Here is a 21,832-nt window from a genome sequence, read left to right as displayed (position 1 = left end):
CAAAAGTAATAAACACTCAAAACTCATCACTTCCTAATCCTTTTAGCAGACCTTGCGGTTGTCCGTGCCCTTGCAGTTACTTATGCCAATTGCATCTGTTTGGTGGAAATGCCTCTGATTGGTGGCCCTCTGCTGCCCTGCTCCCACTACTTCACGTTCAGTGACAGCACTTTGGCAGCTTGAAATTGGCCATATGCTACAAATAAGGCTTGTTTATCCACACCCCACCCCACCCCAGGTGATTGTTAAAGATTTGCCAGCGCACCACTGTTTGTAGTTTTTTCTCAACAACACCTCAGGTTGTTAAGACTTAAAGTGTGGATTCCTGGGTGCGCAGGTGAAAGTTGCTGTGTGCAGAAAAGTGGAAAGGGCAAGGAGAGGTAGGAGATGAACAGGACTTGTTTTCATGACACTGCTGATCAAAACAGGATGTAGCAAAGGAACCAGCCAAAAGCAGTTAGGACTAGGAATTATAATACATTTGCATGCTGTAAAACACTTCCCACCAGCACCATGACAGTTGATGTCATGGCAAAACCCAGAAGTTACCTTACATGGTTTAAAGAGGAAGGAACCATCAGTTCTGGAAATTCCCCACACCTTTTCTAGAAAATCTGTGAATAACCCACCGCTTATTTAGCATATAATTAGGAGCAGCTATAAATAGAGCTAGCCAGCAATGCACAAGTGCTACTCTGCCTATGGGATGGCCCTGCTCTGTCTGTGGAGCAGCCATTTTGCTGTACACTATTGCTCTAAAAACTTGCTTTCTTTAACTGTCAGCTCACTCTTGAATTCCTTCCTGAGCAAAGCTAAGAACCCTCTTGAGCTGAGCCCCAATGTGGGGGTTCACCTGCATCAAAGAGACTGGTTTTCAGAAAGCCTGGGTGCCCATCCTGCTCTCCTTCCAGCTGTGTGACCTCAGGCAACTGTCTTCCTCTCTCTGGGCCTCCATTTTCTCATCTATAAAATGGGAGGACTAGACTAAATGGTCTGTAAGGCCCATTCTGGTTATAACACTATCTGATTCTATGATTCCTCTTTTACTTTCTAGTCAGGCATGGTGGTACTACATTTTGGCCCATGGCAGACTGGAGGAAAGGAGTTCAGATATCCAGCACTTTCTCTTCTTTTTTAAATACTTCCCAAAATAATGTAATAGCAACTGTGGTAAAGCAGTCAAAAGGGACCCAAAACAGGTTGAATCAGAGAATAGAACATGAGATGCCCATTCGCTTTCATTCTTTCTTCTGCCTGCAACTTGCCAGTAGCACCAGTAAGCCATTTCTGAAATTCATTATGTAAATAACAAAAGCCTCAAGAAATCTTTTTATTAGTGCTCCATATTATGATCCAGAGACTTAGAGGGTGGTGCCCTGGAAAATAAAATTGACCTGAAGTTACAAGGCCTGGATTTGGGTCCTGGATGTCCTAATTCACTTTTACTCCTTATGTGAGCTTGAGCAAGTTACTTAACATCTCCAAGACCCAGTTTCCAGTTAAATGTGAATAATTTCTAGTAGAATGGACTAGTGCAGGCTTTGTGGAGAGCCACTGGGTGGCACTTATTCAAATTAAGTGTGCATTTTATGACCCAGCCACCATGCTTTTTAGTCGGCATCCCAGAGAAATTCCCACCCAGGTCCATCAGCAGTCACATTTCACCAGCGGTTCTTGTTTGAAACTATTTGTGTGCAGAGTTGGAGGCCATCATGGTTTCCACTAGGGGGCAAAGATGAGTAAAACATGATCGACAAACACCGTGGAGTATTATGCAGCATTTAAAGGCAATGGAGTAGATACACATAGCAACATGGATCACTTCTAAAAACAGAGCAGAATGAAAAAAGTACAAAACAGAATGAGATTCACAGAATATTACAATTTATGCAAACGAAACTGCATACACACTAAACAAAATATTCACTTTATAAATACGCATACAAATAAGATAAACATTGGACATATTTAGAATGATTGCCTATGTGGAGGAAAAAGTGTGAGTGGGAGATGGCAATAAAAGAGAATGGATCGATTAGTTAATTATTAAAACAAGAGAGGAGCCAAGCAAAAACAATAGATGCCAGTATTCCACGCACTAAGTAGTAGGATTTGCTCATCCTTCTAATCCTAAGTCCAATAAAAATTAATGAAAAGTGGCCAGGAGCAGTGGCTCATGCCTGTAACCCCAGCACTTTGGGAGGCCGAGGCACGTGGATCACCTGAGGTCAGGAGTTCTAGACCAGCCTGGCCAACATGGTGAAACCCTGTCTCTACTAAAAAATTACAAAAACTAGCCAGGCATGGTGGCACTTGCCTGTAATCCCAGCTACTTGGAGGCTGAGGCAGGAGAATCACTTGAACCTGGGAGGTGGAGGTTGCAGTGAGCCCAGATCGCACCACTGCACTCTAGCCTGGGTGACAGAACGAGACTGTGTCTCAAAAAAAAAAAAATTAATGAAAAGTACAATCGTACCTTACCTACCCCACACAGTTATGGTGAGGGTCAAATGGATAATGTATGTGAAAATTATCTGTGCACCATAAAATGTTATTCAGATATGTTATTATCTTTATGTTTACAGCACAGCTGGGAAAAGGTCAAGAGAGACTGCAGAGAATATTTAAGAAATGTGGCAAGATGCCTTGTCTTTTTGTCTTGATAAGTTTAACAGGGAAGTTTAAATGTCCCTTAATCAGATATGCCTCTGTAAAATAGAAATCTTTAAATAAAAATTATGGCCATCCTCGATTCTTCTTCTGAGTAACATATTTGTGGTAGATGCTGTCAGTTGCCTAGCCACAGCCATTCTCCCTGCTTGCCAGGAGTACAGCACCCCACAGTTGTTCAGGTGGCAACATGTCTCTATCCTCAGAGGATCAAATGTGATTGGTCCAAGACAGGCATGGTAACACCATTTCTAATGGCCAGTGGTTGTTTTAGATGGGAGCATGTGACCCAGTTCTGGTAAGAGATGTAAGGGGAAGTTTGCTTGGAGGAGCCTCTCCTGGAAGAATGGTTTTTTTCCTGTTAAAAAAAGGAGACAGAGATAAGAATGAAGGCTTCCATTTCTTCCTACCTTAATCCATAGTATGTAAGGATTTTCTATTTAGAACTGAGGCAGCTACTTGTGACCATGAGGCAGTAAGTTTAAGAATTAAAAGACAACAAGCTAGGGTCACATAGAAAGAGCCTGGTTCCTGGATGGCACCACTGAGCCCCAACACCAAAGCTAAAACAGTCCAGCTCTTGGTTATGTGAGCTCGTTAAATGTCTTTATTACTCTAGACATTGTTACTTGCAGCCGCACACATCTTAGCAGATATGACATGTAACCCGGCATTCCCTTGAAAGATCTCTTTTCTTGTGTATATCCTGCAGGAAAGATCATCCCCTTACTAGTTTGTGATTTCCCCAAACGTATCTGAAAGACTGTCAAGGAGCAGAAAACTGTGTTTAAAGTAGGTGGGACCTGTCCATATTTTGAGTGAGCCAAGGAAACCGGCATAGGTGAAGTAATCCAGGCATCTGTTTAGGATATCAAGGATTCTGAAAAGGTACCACACACCAAATTTCACCTCTGAAGCCAGTGGTAGTGAGAAGTTTCTGGTAAGGAGTGGTCAAAACCAAATGTGTGGGCTGGAGAGAAGACTTGACATAAAATACCAGAATGGCTATGTGTGGCTTGTGTGTGTGTTGTCCCACTGGACCAAGGGTAAAATTAAGGGGGTCAATTTTAGCTTGATACCTCTAATTAGAGTTGCCCTACCCTCAGGACAGTTTACATTGTACTGCTATGAGCTTCTAGGCCCTGGATGTGTCCAAATCAAAGCATACCTCCATTGAGTAGCAAGTCTCTAAAGTCCCATCTAAGCTCCAAATTCTAAAATTACGTATTCCTCTGGATGAAATGCAAATTATCTTCAGGGTCATAATTTAGTGAATACAGGGGAGAGCAGAGGCCTTTGATGGAAATAACCATGCAGAGTGGAGAATCTGAGGTCACCAAAGATTCTCATCCAACTCCATCTTTGGAGAATAAAGGGATATGGTCATTTTCTCAAAGAATTGAAAGTAGATTGCCATATGATCCAGTAATTCCACTTCTGGGTATACGCTCAAAAGAATTGAAAGCAGGGTCTCAAAAAGATATTTGTACACCCATGTTTATAACAGTATTATTCACAATAGCCAAAAGAGGGAGGCAATCCAAGTGTTCATCAATGGATAAATGGATAAGCAAAAAGTGGTATATACACACAATAGAATATTACTCAGCCTTAAAAAGGAAGGAAGTTCTGACACATGCTACAACATGTGTGAACCTTAAAGATATTGTGCTAAGTGAAGCAAACCATTGATTCCATCCATATGAGGAATCTAGAGGAGTCAAACTCAGAGATAGAAGTAGAATGGTGTTGCCAGGGGCTTGGGGAGAGAGAAATGGGAAGTTGTAGTTGAATAGATATAAAGTTTCCATTTTGCAAGATGAAAAGGGTTCTGGGCCAGCACAGTGGCTCATGCCTGTAATCCCAGCACTTTGGGAGGTCGAGGCGGGTGGATCATCTGAGGTCAGGAGTTTGGGAGTAGCCTGGTCAACATGGCAAAACCCCATCTCTACTAAAAGCACAAAAATTAGCCAGGCATGGTGGCATGTGCCTGTAGTCCCAGCTACTCGAGAGGCTGAGGCAGAAGAATTCATTAAACCCAGAAAGCGGAGGTTGCAGTGAGCCAAGATAGCACCATTGCACTCCAGCCTGGGCAACAGAGCAAGACTTCATCTCTTAAAAAAAAAAAAAAGGAGAAAAAGAAAAGAGTCCTGGAGATTGGTTGCACAACAACATGGAGTTACTTAAAGCTACTGAAATGTACACTTCAAAGGGTTAAAATGATGGATTTTATGTTACATGTATTTACCACAACATTTTTTAAAGGAATATGGTTGTAAAGTATTTTCTAGCACTCAGATCCAACAGATCTTTTGGCCACAGTCCTGGGGGCAAGGACTCCCACCCCTACCCTAGAGAAAAGGCAAGCCTGTTCTCAGTGACACAAAGGAGGGAGAGGAAGCAGGTGCAGCCACTGCTTGGAATCTCTGCCCAACAGCTGGCATTGCTTTAGAGACGTCATCATGCCCTCCCACAAATGACTGCTCTGACTCCAGCTGTAGTCATTTCTCCATCTAAATAAAGAACCCTAAAAAGTGGCACTAAATTAAGAGATGCCTTTGACGTCATCCATTCTGACCCGTCTGTTCTGAGACCTGGAAGGGAAAGTGATTTTGCCTAGATCACACTCTGCATTAGTGACAGCCAAGACTAGGGCCATGAGAGCCTCAAGAACCAGCCCCTCTACTCACAGGTAGCTTGGTGGAAGTATTATTTAGCATTGCTAAAGAACTGCATATTTGTAAAGTGCTTTATGCTCATCTATTATTAATGCACTAATGAGAATACTTAGATTGTGCCTTTTCTCCTAGGAGCTCAGAGCACTTTGTAAATGTTAACTCATTCACCCCCTACGTCCCAATGGGAGACAGAAATCCTCAGCCCTTGGCTCTGCACTTGGTAAAGAGTAGGCCCAGCAAAGGCAACAGGCGGGATGGGAGGCAGGCTCAGAACCGGAAACTTCCAAGTTCCTGTTCCCTCACTGTCTCCTGTCTAACTACACAATGTCCCTGGGACTGATATACAAGCCCTAGGAACCAATGAGATATTTCTGTGAAGCTAATGGCATGTATGGCACCAGAGGAAAGGGGCTTAAGTTCTAGGGAGGGGGAGAAGAAAGGGAGTAAAGTTAGAAGGAATAGCAATATCATAACAGCCAACATTTACTGAACGTTCATGATGCAGCAGACCCACAACTTCTGCATCATCTTATTGAATCCTCATCCATCCCCATGACTGAATAGTGATCATCTCCCTTTTTCATATAAGAAAACTGAGGCTTGGGAACGTTAAGAAACTTTCCCAAGGCCACACCTAGACAATATCAGCACCATGCCCAGAACACAGATGTAACTCCAGAGCCTGTGCTCTAAAGCCACATGGGGAACTGCTTCTCCCCAGAGTTAAGGGATAATCATAGCAGAAACCACCATTAAATTATGTTAGAAAATCCCATTCTTGGAAAAAGTTACTCACTGAAGTCAGTAAGGAGGCAAAAGGATAAAGGAATCCTCCCCGCAAGAGGACTTTCCCACCCTTTCCTCTGGCATCCCATCATCTGTGACTTCCTTCTAACACATCATTGGTCATGTCATAACATACCATACACTCATCAGATGCCTCTGCTCCACCAGACACAAGCTCCAGGTCTTCATCATTTTGCATCCCTAGTGCTGACATCACACTTGCTACTTAGCAGGTGCCCAGTATGTATATGTGGGAAAGGATGGGAACAAGGCAAGGTTTTGAGACAGACATTAATACATGTATGGCCCAAATGTCAACAATTTTATAATTCTACATTTAAAGCAGTTGACATAGGTCATAAATTTTGTTTTTAAATTTTGCTCTGTACCCCTCATTCCCCACAAATAGGGAACAATCAATCAAGAAGTGATAATTGAGTATCTGCAGCATTACAGTGCTGTGGGGTGTACTGAAGATACCCATGAGGTGATCTTTACCCTCCCAGAGTTTACGTTCCAGTTAGGGGCATGATGGTAACACACACAGGCAATTAATGAATGACACAGGATAAATTTGCAAGCTAATCAGGGGTTTAGACTGGGAATTCTGGGGAGTTTGGGACTAGGGAAGGCTTAATGGAGAAAGTGACATCTGAGCAAGCATAGCTGGGCACAAAAGAAGACATTCCTGCCAAGAGTGTACATGGAGCCAGTAAGAGCTAAGAGCATAGTGTGTGGGCAGGACAGGAAGAGGACCAGCCTGTCAGGAGAAGTGGGCACATTACACAGGTAATTCTTTACCAGTCACAGAAATTCCCTCGGCTCCTTGAAAATCAGCCATTGGCATGGGATGTGCAACAAGCTACTCAACATTAACCCCAGTTCTAAGGAAACATTTTTTTACGTCTTTGTTCGTTAATAAAAGAGAAGGGTTGTTCAAACCAGCGTGTGCTCCTCTAATGAATACTGACTCACCAAGGTTCACAACCAGAGTTGGAAAAGCTGGGAGTCAATAAAGAAGCAATACATTCTAACAATATTAAAACTTCCTGGTACTGCAGTAATTAGAATTTCAAACACTAATAAAAGACTGTACAGTTAATTAGCAGCAGTCGTAAAAGTCTAAGAACAAATATACTATGTATTAAATACAACAACTAATGTAATTGCTACACACCGATTGAAAAATTAAAGAGGGAGAGGTTAGGGAAAGTGCTTGCCACAAGAGCAGCAACACTGTTTCTCTTGGTCTTTGTGGCCACAATTCCTTATTATAGTCATATTAGTATTACAGTCTTTACTATTAATATCAGAATGTTTTATTTCTCATTAATAGATTCCACTTCCTTAAGAAGCCAGGAAATTTGGCATACCCTAACTAAGCTACAATCTGAACTACACATTATTTTCTCATTCTGGGGACAAAACTCATACATAAAGACACATAGACACATGTGTGTACACACACACACACGTTTACTGAACGTTCTGATTTTGTACAGGTGTGATTTTGTACAGGCATGAAGCTAATAGCCACTTTTCTAGTCAATAGCACCTTTCTAGACTTTGGGAACATCCCTCCCCAAATCACCCAAAATGATCTCCCTCATTAAGCTTACAACACTCCATCTTCAGGACTCCTTTATGAAAAGTCTCCTGGAAGAACACAAAACCTCCCATACAATAATCTTACCAAAAAAAATCCAATTTGAATCTGATCACACTTCTAGATTTAATGACCAGTTTATAGGGAATAGAGCAGACAGAAGAAACAAGGTAAACAACACCACAGGAATGCAGATAGAAAACCTCAAACTGTGAAAAATTCTATAGGACAAATAATCCAGTTTTTCAACAAATAAATGTCAAGGATAAAAAGAGATGGGATGGGAAACTATAGATTGAAAGTTAAAAGACATTCAGTGATCATGCCCTTTGTTATTTACCCAAAGGAGTTGAAAACATGTCCACACAAAAACCTGCACACAGATGTTCATAGCAGCTTTATGCATAATTGGCAAAACTTGGAAGCAATCAAGATGTCCCTGAATAGGTGAATGGATAAACTGTGGTACATCCAGAAAATGGAATATTATTCAGTGTTAAAAAGAAATTAGCCATCAAGCCATAAAAGGAATGAAGAAAACTTAAATGCATATTACTAAGTGAAAGAAGCCAATCTGAAAAGGCTACATACTGTGTTATTCCAACTATACAGCATTCTGAAAAAGGCAAAACTATGGAGACAAAAAAACTACTCCATATGATACTATAATGCTGAATACATGTCATTATTCGTTTGTTCAAATCTATAAAATGTATAACACCAAGAGTGAACCCTAATGTAAACTATGGTCTTTAGGTGATAATGATGTGTCAATGTAGGTTCGTCAGTTGTAGCAAATGGACCAAATGGAACAAATCACAATGGTGGAATGTCATCAGTTAAGTCAGGAACTGGCTATTTTCACTTCTTTTGTGGATCTTCAGTTGCTTCAGGCCATCTGGATGTACACGTGCAGGTCACAGGGCATATGATGGCTTAGCTTGGGCTCAGAGGCCTGACAGTAGGGGCTGGGGGAGTACCAGCTTGGGAGTCAGGACCACTGGCTGCTAGTCTAATTTCTGTAACCATTTGGCTGTGTAATTTGAGTTTCTATTTCTTCTGTGAAATGCACCACTGGAAAGGTGATTTCTGCACCCTCAGCTTTAACATGCTTTGAATGATGGCCAAATCAGAAAGACAAAGAATTAGATGTCACAAATAGATTTCAGTTAAAAGAAGATATTTCCTATGTCTTGGTTAAATTCTCCCAGGAACACACTCTGAGACTAAAGATTTGAATGCAAATACCTTATTTGGGAAATGATTCCAGGAAGCACCAGAAGGGAAGTGGAAACAGAAGACAGGGAAGGGAAGGAAGCCAGCAACGAGGGAACTATTGATCAGGTGACCACTGTGGGCATCTGAAGCTCAGTCATGCTGGCAGATAGTATGGAACATGCCACAGAGTGGTCTTATCAAGGGGCAGATAGGCAGGATATGTATACACCTACTTCCACCAACCACTGGCTGGGGGCTACTCCCCAGAGCATGAAGTCCCCAACAATTCCTGCCTGCAAGGAGATTCATAAGCGCTTGCAGTCAGAAGTCATGGGTATGTATTGGAACAGTCAGTGACAAGAAAATATAGGCAGAGCATCAATTGCCTCAGGGACCACCTAGGAACTTAAACTGGGCACATCTCTACCTCTTGCTTTTTACTATTTCCAAGGGAGTCAAGTGCAAACAAAATCAGGTTCAAAGATTTGGCAACAGCTCAAATTATTCATTGTGATTTTTATTGCTGCACCTATGTTCATTTGTGCATTCTTGTTTATATAAGGCAGAAAAAAGTGCTAATTCAGCACTGCCTTGGTAGGGTGGCCTTGAAGGCTGCTGTAGAAACCTCCTGCAAGTGCTCAGAGCAGCAGTTTCAAATCTTTGTCGCCTGAAGAACATTCATCATGTTTCCAGGCCCTGCTTTTTCTTTTACAGCTTCGGGGAAAGACTCGAATTCCATCCAATTAGATGTACACAACTTCAGCTGTTTTGAATCTACCTACATGCAAATGAGACCCTAAGGAGCTGGTTCTTTAGGATGAAGAAAGGGGTGTAAGTATTGCCTTGGATTTTTTTAACCAATGCAGGCATCATTTTTAAAAACAAAGACTCTGATTTTCCCTGAAAGTAGTCCTGGAAAAACAATCAGAAACTGAAATGGAATTTCACTGAATTTTTTTATTGCCCTCCCCCCACCTTTTTTTTTAACTATTGAATTCAGTTCAACAGCTGGCTTTTTTATTGTAATTTTTCCTGCTATAGTGATTATTTGTCTTCATGACTCAGATGACCATACTGGCTAGTTTTTTTGTTTGTTTGTTTGTTTGTTTTTTCACTCACGAGTGCATCGTTTGGGCACTATGCAGGCACAGCTTGAGGCAGTTTGGATGCAGTGACTGATAACTGCACCAGAAGCAAATCTGCAGATTCTGTTTGGGGCTCATCTCAGTTTCAAATACGGGTGACTAAATGACATCTGCCTGCCTCTCCCTCCTCCTTCCTCAACAAGGAAGAGGCCTCGTCGCCAACACGCGCACATAGTTGTGGGCTTCAGCCAACTCCGTATAGTGCAGCATTCAAATGAAACTCATCAGAACACTTGGAAATGACAGAGTGAACACCAGGAGCTTATTTCTAATGATATTTTCAATCACCGAGGATTTCACTCTAAGCCATGTTTGTCTTTTTTTTCAAATTGCTAGAAAGGGCATTAATAACATTATCTTTCCCCCAAAATGAGGTAAGAAACTCATCAAAAAGGGGCTGATATACTGGGATAAAGACTCTGGGCTCCTCCCTCATTTTCCTCCAGTTAAAGGGCCAAACCAATGGGCCATCTCTAACATTCTGAGAAGTCAGAAATTTCTGGGCAAAATGATCCACATTGTTCAAAAACAGAAACATTAAACAGCAAGTTTGTTTGCTTGTTTGTTTGTTTGTTTTCCTTAACTACTACTCTCACTTAACAATGGGCAATGGAAACAGAGAAATCCAAGATAAAATAAAATTCAGACTTTTCTAAAACTTTACCTTAATGAATGCACCAGTGCTGCACTCTCTCACTCCATTTTTCTCTGTCATCAACAAGGGGCAGGATGTTGTGATGGAAAGAACATTGTAAGTCAGTGGGTCTGAGTTCAAGTTCCAGCTCTCTGTGGTATTAGGCGAGTTGTTTTGCCTCTCCTGGTCTCAGTTTCCTCATTTCCAATCCCTGCCCTTTCCACTTCAACTATAAAAAACTGACATGGTTTAAGCTGAACAGAGACCTTAGCAATTCCCAATGCAGTCCGAGAAATGGCTGCTTTCACTGACCCACCAGAGGTGAAAAAAGTGTACGAGGTAATTAGTATGCAGGGGTGACCGCAGACTACTGCTAAACAAAGTAGACTCAAAAATAAGACTCCTCATTAGATGATTTAGGTAAGCTAAGATTGGGAGAGACCGCAGGCAGGGACTGGGATGGCCTCTTACTCAGAACGTTAATATTTTTCCCTTATTATTCACCTATCTGAGATCCAAACAGGTGAGCAAATGACTCTTGTAAAAGGCTCTTGTCAGCCTTCTCTTTCCGGGAGTATGGCAGACAAAACACCCTGAAGGGTCCTTGCCATGAAAACATCTAAAATACTGGGGAAAAAATGAAATTTATATTTATAAAAGTATTGTCAAACTAGCACAATTATTTAAAACACACACACACACACACACACACACACACACACACACAGGCAAAAGATAAAGTGAAAGCAAGAATTCTGGGGCTGAATGACTGCCAAGGCTGGCTTTTCCCTGAGGGTCTCTTCTGAAATCTGAAGGCCCTGACGTTCTACTATGGGGCTGCATTGGAGATAAGGTAGGGGGTCTATTAGGGAACCTTGACATAAAAGTAATGTCACAAAGAGCTACACCCTCTGTAAAAGAGCAAATGATAAAGAAATCTGCTGCTCAGAAACAGTCAATAAGAAAACTTGTCTATTTCAGCCTTAGCATCGGGTGGGAAAAAAATTCTACCTGTAAACTGGCCTTTGCACAGGACTGTGGTTGAATTCATGCTACTTCTGTGGTCCAATAAATTTGCAAGCTTAGACTTTAACCTAAAATGATCCTGGAAACATGGATGAATCTTCAAAACATTGTGCTATGTGAAAGAGGCCAGATATAAAGGACTACATATTGTATGATTTTGTTTATGTGAAATATTCAGAATTGACAAATCCATAGAGGAAGAAAGTAGACTATTGCATTGGGCTAAGGGGTAAGAATACTGACTAACTGTAAACAGGGAAAGGGATCTTTGGAGAATTTGTCTTTTAAGTTTAAAACTGGATGATAATAATTGCACAATACTGTAAACTTACCAAAACTCATTGAATTGTATGTTTAAAATGGGTAAGTTTTATGGCATGTGCAGAATACCTCAATAACAGTGTTTTTTAAGCTGGTCTTGGGTTATTGCTGGAAAAGTAACTAGCAGAAGGAATGCAAGTCCTCTCCGGAGGAATATAACTTCACTAAGAATTCCCATAGACAAACTTACACATAAAATGAGCAGCTCACAGTAAAAAATCACAAAACACACAAGAAATCAAGACATTATGAGTGAGAACTAGCAGAAATGTAGACAGCAGATCAGTCCAGGAAAGGCTTCAAATAATGGAATTAGTTCACATAAAATAAATAATAACTACATTACTAACTATATTAATTATAACTATGAAGTAAAAGGTATACTTGGAAATATGTGCAAGCAACTAAAGGGTCTAAATACAACCAGCATATTTAGAAGAATCAGAGAGATATTCCAGAAATAAAATGTACATATAATAACTGAAATTGAAATTTTAATTGATTGCTCTAAATAGTAAATTAAATATAGCTGAGGACAGAATTAGAAAACTGGAAGGTATAGCTAAAGAAATTAATGAAAAGTTGGGGCAGAAAAAAAAGTTTACAAGATATGTAAGATAGGTTGAAGCAGCCTTCCACATGACTAATCAGAATTTCTGAAAGAGACAATAAGGAGAATATGAAATAAATCATATTTGAAAAGATAATGACTGAGAATTTTCACAACCATTGAAAAGCATCAGTCCTCAAAAATCAGGAACCCAAAGCAATATTAACCAAGATTTTAAAATCTAGATACTTCATGGTGTAACTGGAAAACACCAAAGACAAAAAGAATATATTGAAAATAGCCAGGAAGAAGAAAGAGTGGCAGTTAGAATGATGGCAATTTCTCAGTGCAACAGTGAGAGATCACAGCAGACTAATAGTATCAATATGCTGAGAGAAGGTAACACTCAATGTAGTATTCTATTAGCCAGAAAAACAATCTTTCAAAAATTAAGTGAAACTAAAATAATTTTTAGACAAAGTAAGGAAAAGGAAGAAAAAGCTTGACCACATTACCAACAAATTCTCACTAAAGGAAATTCCAAAGAATATACTTCAAACAGACATAAATTAATTCCCAAAGACAAAAAGGAATTATAAATAATATTGATAAATAAGTGAATAACTAATAGACAAAAGATATTGACATATGTATGAGTAAATATAACTATATGACCATCCTGAGCAATCTAGTAAGGCTCCATCTCTACAAAAAATTAAAAACTTCCCTGGGTATACTGGCGCATGCCTGTAGTCCCAGCATCTTGGGAAGCTGGGCGGGGAGGATTGCTTGAGCCCTGGAGGCAGAGGTTGCAGGGAGCTGAGATCACAACACTGCATTCCAGCCTCAGTGGCAGAGCGAGACCCTGTCTCAATAAAATAAAATAAATGTATGAATAAGTGTGTGAGTAAATATAAATAAGCATTTACTAGATAAACAATATTAATAATATACAACTTGTATGACTAAAAAAAAAGGCTAAAATACCACAGAACTAAATATAAAGCAACATAGCTGATAAGCTGGGCAAGAGGTGATCAGAGTTAAACCACTGTAAAATCATTGCAGTGTTCAGGAGGATAATAATATTAGGCTGTGTTAAGTTAATTGGGCAATTAAAAATGACCTAGGTAACCATAAAAGAAGTATAAAGGATATAAATGATAAACTAAAAGAAGTGTGAAATAGGCCGGGCGCAGTGGCTTACGCCTGTTATCCCAGCACTTTGGGAGGCAGAGGCGGGTGAATCACAAGGTCAGGAGATCGAGACCATCCTGGCTAACACGGTGAAACCCCATCTCCACTAAAAATACAAAAAATTAGCTGGGTGTAGTGGCGGGCGCCTGTAGTCCCAGCTACTCGGGAGGCTGAGGTAAGAGAATGGTGTGAACCCGGGAGGCGGAGCTTGCAGTGAGCCAATACCGCACCACTGCACTCCAGCCTGGGCGACAGAGCGAGACTCTGTCTCAAAAAAAAAAAAAAAAAAAAAAAAAAAAGAAGTGTGAAATAAAATGAGAACATTAGTTTAAAAAAAAAAAAAAAATCCAGGCCGGCCCGGTGGCTCATGCCTGCATTCCTAGCACTTTGGGAGGTCAAGACAGACAGTTCACTTGAGGTCAGGAGTTCGAGACCAGCCTGACCAACATGGTGAAACCCCATCTCTGCTAAAAATAAAAAAATTAGCCAGGCATGGTGGCACATGCCTGTAATCCCAGCTACTCAGGAAGCTGAGGCAGGAGAATCACTTGAACCTGGGAGGCAGAGGTTGCAGTGAGCCGAGATTTTGCCACTGCACTCTCCTAGCCTAGGCGACCGAGTGAGACTCTGTCTCAAAAAAATAAATAAATAAATATCCAAAAGAAAGAAGGGAAGAAAGAAGGGAAAAGCAGAACAAATGACACAAAACAAAATGATAGAAATAAATTAAAATGTATCACTAATGAAAATAAATCCATATCTATAAATCAAAATAAATGGTTAAAAACACATTGATAACTTTTTCAGTTAGTATAGGGCAAGTTATGCTGAGGTTAAAAATAAGTGATCCCAGGGCCGGGCATGGTGGCCCACGTCCATAATCCCAGCACTTTGGGAGGCCAAGGTGGGAGGATCGCTTGAACTCAGGAGTTTGAGACCAGCCTGGGCAACACAGGGAGACCCGACTCTACCGAAAATACAAAACTTGGCCGGATGTGGTAGTGCGCACCTATGGTCCCACCTACTGGGGAGGCTGAGGTGGGAGCGATCACTTGAACCTGAGAGATCAAGGCTGCAGTGAGCTGTGATCATGCCACTGCACTCCAGCCTGCAAAACAGAGGGAGACCCTGTCTCAAAAAAAAAAAAAAAAAAAAAAAAAGATCCCGAAATCTTAGAAGCTTACAACAACAGAGATCTCTGTTTCAGTTATTTAAAGCTTCAAATAAAACACCTAAATCTTAATGACTTAAAATAACAATTTATTGTTGCTCAGCATGTCGTGGTTTGGTTGGGCAGTTCCGCACATGCTCCTGCAGTTGCATTCGCCTGCTGCTTCAGTGAAAGCTGCAAAGACAAAGCGGGCCTCACTGTAGTAGGGAAGGCTAGAAGTCTAAAACCTCTGTTTCTATGAAGTTTCATATCTTTCAGTTATCTAACCCAAGCTTCTTTACTTGGCAGCTAGGTCCCAAGAGAGTAAAAGTGGAAACTGCAAAATATCTTGAGGCCTAGACTCCAGAACTCATTCAACATCTCTTCTACTACAATCTTATGATAGTGTGAATCATGTCAAAGTAAATCACAGGCCAAGCCCAGGTTCAAGGGAGTGGGAAATAGACTACATCTGTTGATGGGAAGGGCGGACATGGCATGGGCAGTCAACCCCCATTTATGTCTCAGTCATGCAATGTGTTCACTGCAGGTCAGCTCCATGTTGTTTTCACTCCAAAACCCAGGCTGATAAAGGGATCTCAAAATATTTTTAGTGTCATGGCAAAGGGATCATGATGAAGCATGTGCTGGCCCTTAAAGCTTCCAGCCAGAAGTGCTCTTTGCTCATAATTCATTGGCCAAAGCAAATTACATGGTAAAGCCTGTCTTATAAAGCCCTGGGACTATAAGGGTACCTAAAAAGAGAGTGTTATTAGAAATCCTACTGAAGTGTGAACTACTTGAGTGAGGACAGAGGAGGAAACCACAAAATATCTGGATGATATACAATGTTAAGAATTAGCTTCCAAGAAAATTTCAGAGAATATTTTATGTTATGCTAACAAGGTTCACTGATATTGACAGTTATGGAATATTATAGAGCCCATGCTTAAGAGGCGAAGTTGTTAGGAAAAGTTTCAAAGGGGTTAGACCACTTCTGTGCTCAATATACACACCAAGTCCCCCACTGTCATCTAAAGATTTCTTCTCTGGTTATAAAACTAACACTAGAATCATAAAAATTTTCATCAAGTCCAACCTATTCCACATACAAAGACAACTGATAGTCATAGGTACGGGGAAATGTTAGGATATATATCTTGAAATAAGTCAAACTGTCAGCAGGCCTTCACTGACCATTCTTTACATGCTCATCTCTTTGCTATGTGCCGTAGTGAATGCCAAGTATAAAATAACCTCAAAGGTCAGGAAAACAGGAAAACATTTTTAAATAAACAAAGACCAACATAAGATAACTATGGTCTTTCCCTGTTCTCCAAGAGGCAGACAATGGCTGCTGAGATATTTGTACTTCAGTTGGCAGTTTAAGATACAGTTAAGGCATAGGAAAAAATAGCAAGCAAAGCAGTAGGTAAATAATAAAGCAGGTGGTAGAAAGTCCCAGTGCTGGAAGAGATTAGAGGAAGGAAAAATCACTAAGGACTGAAATAGACATATTCAAGGAGGAGAAACTAGAGCTGAACTTCAAATGATAACACAAGATTATTCTTAGAGACAGAAAACTTTTACAATATATGAGAACATGGACAAAGCCACCTTCCCATGAGGTTCCCAAAGAACATAATTATAGAAGAAAAGAAGAAAATGTCCCACAGAGTAATAATTTACCACTACCTCAGTATAGACACCAAATCCCAACATTAAAAAGTCTAGGCCAGGTGACCCACTCTTTGTCCTAAATTGGTCAGGCTTCCAACTAAAGTAAGCTGGGAAGCCTCCTGCTCAGTTCTACCTTTGCCAGTGTCCATACACAAATGCCAAATCGTACTACTCTATATTCCTAATGACAAGAGATAAAGCAATGCCCACCAACCCAGCACTGACCTGTTACAATACAGCATCTTCTGCTAGCAAATATGGTCCTATCAGCTTCCTAAAGTCCAACCAATTAGATTGGCATTCATGTTTCTTAATAAGAGAGAAGTATAAAGATGAACTCCTGAGCACTAAGTACCAACGGGGCCGTACATCATTAAGTGCAACCAGAGCGGCAGGGAGTTTCCAATGAAAGATGAATCAGGACCGGCAGCAAAAAGGGACTGAGGAGTCTCTGATTTCAGCAGTTCTTGATGGTAGGTGAAATGATTGCTAATGTTTTCACTTTGCCTGTGCATTACTCTTCTCCACATTTCTTTCTCATTTCTTTCTATGCCACTGTGAGAAGACTCATTTCAACAGATTTCTGAACCAGGAAATGTGGAATCCATAAAATGTTGGTTTGGTGTTTGATTTGGGGGTTTCTTAGTATCTCCTGTGTTCTACAGGCACCACAAGAGTCCTCCAACTCTCACAAAGTAACACTGCAACGCAAAGACCTTCAACACAAAGAAGGCTTGTCTTCTCTGTGCCCCAATATTGCTTTTATTATGAATCACACAAGTTAGACTTTATTGCACCTTGTTCTGTTATGTCACTATTAATCTTGTCTCCCCAAGTAGAATGTAAGGGGCCTTGCTGGCACTGTGCGTGCACCCTTATAGTACCTCACCCAGCGCTGGGCAGCGTTAACTCTCGGCAAAATTTTAAAGCAGTTCTCCCTCTAGGGCCTTTTTCTTTTGCTCTCTTTGCCCGTAGTGGATGGTGCCATTTCCTTCCTAATCACAGAAGCGTGGCATCTGCACACTTTTTACACCTTCAAGCCCATCAAAATAAAATCTTAGGAAAAAATGTGATAAACTAATCCACCCTAAATGATAAATGATTGCTTGAGTTTAAAGAGATGTCAAAGACACAAATCACCACTAGAAGAATTCCAAGTATTAGCAAGATGGTAGGGAAATTCTTTTGAGGAGCAGAGGGCCTTGCTAGAGCCTCTGAAATTCCAGAATATCTACTGGATCCTGTGTCCTTCATTTTGGGCCTATACAAAATCCTATATATCAATTAATTTCTTACTTCCCACTTCCTGCTCATAGCAGGCTTAAAAAACAATTTATGGGATCTTTATTGTCTTCAGACCAGAAAAAAGAAATAGAAACTAAGGCAGCAGCCCTTCCTTCCAGTGCCTTGCAGCAGTGGACTAGCTTGACTTTCAAATAAGTTCACATCATACAATATAATAACAGGAGAGTGTTCACAAATCTGGCCTTTTCTGGATATTAAATACATTTCTGCTGCTGGACTAGCCAGATAAATACAGAATGTATGTCATCCAAAAAGCAGGGCAGAAAAGTACTCCACTTAGAGTTAACAATGTGCTATTAAAACTACATATGTCAAATTATTTCATGCATAATGCAAACATATGATCTATCACAGTTAGGACAGTCTTGAAATGTCTAAGGGCCAAGCTCAATTAGGGCTCTAAAATATTTTGGTTTCTGCCATAACCTTCCTGGAATGGCTTAGCAAGTAAGAATCTCCTACTGTTTGCTTTAGTAAATCCCATTTTTCAAGGGTTAAAAGAGTGATGTGATTTAATCTTGATGATAAACATTTGCATTGGCCTAAAAACAGAGATAAACAGTGGAATTGCTCCTGGGAGGCTTCTGTTAAAATGTTCACAGAGTTTAACCTGATAGAAACCATCAATCAACAGGTTTATTGGTGCCCAGCAGGGCTAGAGCCTGTCTTCTTCCTTGCATATAGCTCTGGGTGCAGTTCAAGCCCCACACACACCTAGAGGGAAAGGTGAGACCTTCCAGGATGGACCAAGTCAAATACACATTCCAGCAGCACCTGATTTAGAGCTTCACTTAAATTGTATGTGTCAGTTGGGTCCGGACATTTGTCTTCTTTGACCTTGCTTCCCACCCTCTTCCAAGGGAGAACACAACTACATGTCTGTGGTTCATTGCTCTCCATTCTATATTTCCTCTGGACCATGTAGCTGAGTCCCAGCAGTAGGGTGGCCCTCACTCTTTGGTGTGCCTGAGTCTGCTTCCCCAGGTAAACTGGGTATGTGTGATTTTAAGAAACTTCAGGACGCTGACTTCCATGAAGCCTAGGTTAGTGGCTTCTGGGAGGTCAAGGGGAGATGCAATCTGCTACCATAGCCAGAACCTACTTTCCCCACCCCCACCCCGGCCTCTGGGTTCTAATTATATGATTGCAATAAAGAAGTCACTGAGGCCAGATGTGGTGGCTCATGCCTGTAATTCTAGCGCTTTAGTAAGCTGAGGCAGGAGGATCCCTTGACCTCAAAAGTTTGAGACCAGCCTGGGCAACATGGTGAAACCCTGTCTCTACCAAAAATACAAAAATTAGCTGGGCATGGTGGCACGCACCTGTGGTCCCAGCTACTGAGGAGACTGAGGTGGGAGGATCACTGGAGCCCAGGAAGTCAAAGTTACAGTGAGCCATGGTTGCGCCACTGCACTCCAGCCTGGGTGACAGAGCAAGACCCTGTCTCAATCAACCAATCAATCAATCAATGAAAGAAGTCACTGAGATCTTGATGCAAAGGAAAGGAAAACAAGGGGTCTGGTATGAGTTTGGCCCAATCCTAATGGCCTGGAGCAAGTTACCTTTCTCTATGGTGATGTTTGTCAAAATACACTCCCCAAATACCAGTTTCAGAATCACCTGCCAGAGATCTGGGTCCCATGCCAAGCTGGCTGATGGAATCAAAGTCTCTAAGGGTGGGGACACATTCATGTTTGAGGACCATGGTCTAAAGACTCTGTGTTTGTTATCCATCAAATGAACTAACATAGGCCATAGCTACTTAATGAGGCTATTGTAAGGACCAAAATGGTATAGTGTATGTAAAGTAGTATACAGTCTGGTTTATCAGTTAAGAGCATATTTGGGATCCAAACAGATCTGAACTTGAAACCAGATTTTGCCACTTACCAGCTGTGTGGTCTTGAGAAAAGTACATCCTCTCTGAGCCCCTGTTTTCATAAGCTGTAAAATGTGGACAGTAATACCTAACTCATGGAAGTCACACAAGGATTAAATGAAAGGTTACATGAAAAATGCTTAACACATACTTGGCACAAGGTAAGTATTCCAGTCATGAACACATTTTTTCCCCTTCCCAGAAAAGTACTTCAAACATGAGTCAGAGTACACTTCCTGTTTTACTACTACTGTGAGACTTACGATGCTTTTCCTACAGAACTTCCCAACTTAGTCTTGAGTTTTGTCTTTCATAAGTAATTGCCCAGGCTCTTCCAGTCCCTGTTAAGACAGGCTTATAAACTGTTACTATCTTGCTTATCTGGGACTAATAAATTGGCATCTTGGCTTTCTGTGCCTTTCCAAATATTTGATTCCCTTCTATTTCCCCCACCCCACATCGCTCAATTTAGAATCCTAAACTATGGGGTAATAGCCCTATCCCCATAGTCACTATTCAAGAAAGCGAAAAATATTTTTACCATATTAACAGACGGTTCGTTTCTAAGGGTATATCTTCACAGCAGCTGGTGCTATGGAGGGTTGAAAAAGAAATAAAAGGAAGGCAAGTTGCAGGAAACCAAAAGATTGGCTTAAGCTGACCCTGGGAAATCCCTGGCAGCTGTACCCCCCAAAATCGACCTCGTTCAGCCCTGTTCTCAATATCCCATGCCAGGAAAGAAGGGCATAGTGGCTATTTGGGGTGAAGCTTGGATTAAAGCTCCTGACAAACAAGGCCACTTCCTTGTCCCAGGGCCAATTCTAAAGGTTCCATCTGATACTGTGGGGAAGCTATCTTCCCCTAGCAGTCAACTCTTAGTAATCCAAAAATGTATTTATTTATCCTACTGTCAACAGGAATAAATTATATTCTACCTCCCTGTCCTTGCATTAGGAGAAAAAAAGTGAAGGAAGACAATCTATTTCAGTTGTAATTAACATCGGGCCCGAGGGACCTTTCCGAAATGTCTGCCCTGGCAACATCTCCCCCAGAGTGGATAAAAATGCCTTCATGGAATGAGAGCCTTGGAGATCCCCCGCAGACATCTAACTGGATTCCAAACACGGAAACCCTGAGCAAGAGATGAGTTCCCTGCGAGACTCTCAACTTGCACGCATTTCCGACCCCATCGCTGCCCCCTTCATTTTAGGCCTCCCCTATTGCCTGGGGCAGGGGCCCGATTTTCTTACTTTCATCACACCGCGCTGGAGAGAGGCCCTGCTCCAAGCAGGCTCGGGGCGGTCAATCCTCGGGGCTCGAGAAGGCGCTGTTGCCTCAGGGCCCAGTCGCCCGAGGAGGAGGCCAGCGCAGACCCCGTAGAAAGCAACAGGGAGCAACACACACGAAACCCTGGGCTAAATCTTCGGTCCAGGACCCGGGTCCGCGCACTTTGCGCCACACCCCGCACACTTTGCGCCACACCCGCCAGGAAGCTGCCTCGCCCCCGCCCTCTGCCCTCCTCCCGCTGATCCGCCGCGAATTATGGAGGAGTGAGTGCGGGGACCCAGTTCTGGCAATGCCAGGGTTTCTCCGGAACGGACTCCGGGACACCCAGGAAGGGCGAAGCCCGGCATGGCCCTCCGCCTTGGTGCACCCAGTCTGATTCCGCAGCATCCCCTGCCTCTAGGCTGAGAGAGGGAAGAGGGGGACGGTAGACAGAAGGTTAAAGACATCCCTTCCCCCACCCCAGCTAAGGTTTCGAACCGCACACCCACAAGCCGGAGACACCCCGACGCGCGCCCTGCACTCCTGCTGGGCGATCCGGCTGGGCTATGCGATCTACTACCCTACGTGGAGAGGAAATCCCGTCCTTCCCCTGGCTTCCTGGAGGAGTTGCCGCTTACGCAAAGGAAGGGAAGAGGGACGCCAGCAGAGGCAGCCGGCAACCCCGAGCAGGAGCTCCGGGATGAAGCCGTAGCAAACAGCC

At 42.0% G+C, this 21,832-nt stretch overlaps 1 long non-coding RNA gene across 1 annotated transcript; it reads right to left on the bottom strand.

The window, feature by feature from the left end:
* Positions 1–1,381: 1,381 nt before the first annotated feature.
* Positions 1,382–21,299, bottom strand: LOC124904295 (uncharacterized). Its single transcript, XR_007066359.1, has 3 exons — positions 21,096–21,299; positions 19,857–20,437; positions 1,382–3,028 (listed from the first exon to the last, which is right to left on the bottom strand). It is a non-coding gene; the product is annotated as an uncharacterized LOC124904295 (long non-coding RNA).
* Between the last annotated feature and the right edge of the window lie 533 nt (positions 21,300–21,832).

Source organism: Homo sapiens, chromosome 18 (genome assembly GCF_000001405.40).
Source record: "Homo sapiens chromosome 18, GRCh38.p14 Primary Assembly".
In the NCBI taxonomy this organism is placed as follows: domain Eukaryota; kingdom Metazoa; phylum Chordata; class Mammalia; order Primates; family Hominidae; genus Homo; species Homo sapiens.
This window is presented reverse-complemented; position numbering and strand designations above follow the sequence as displayed.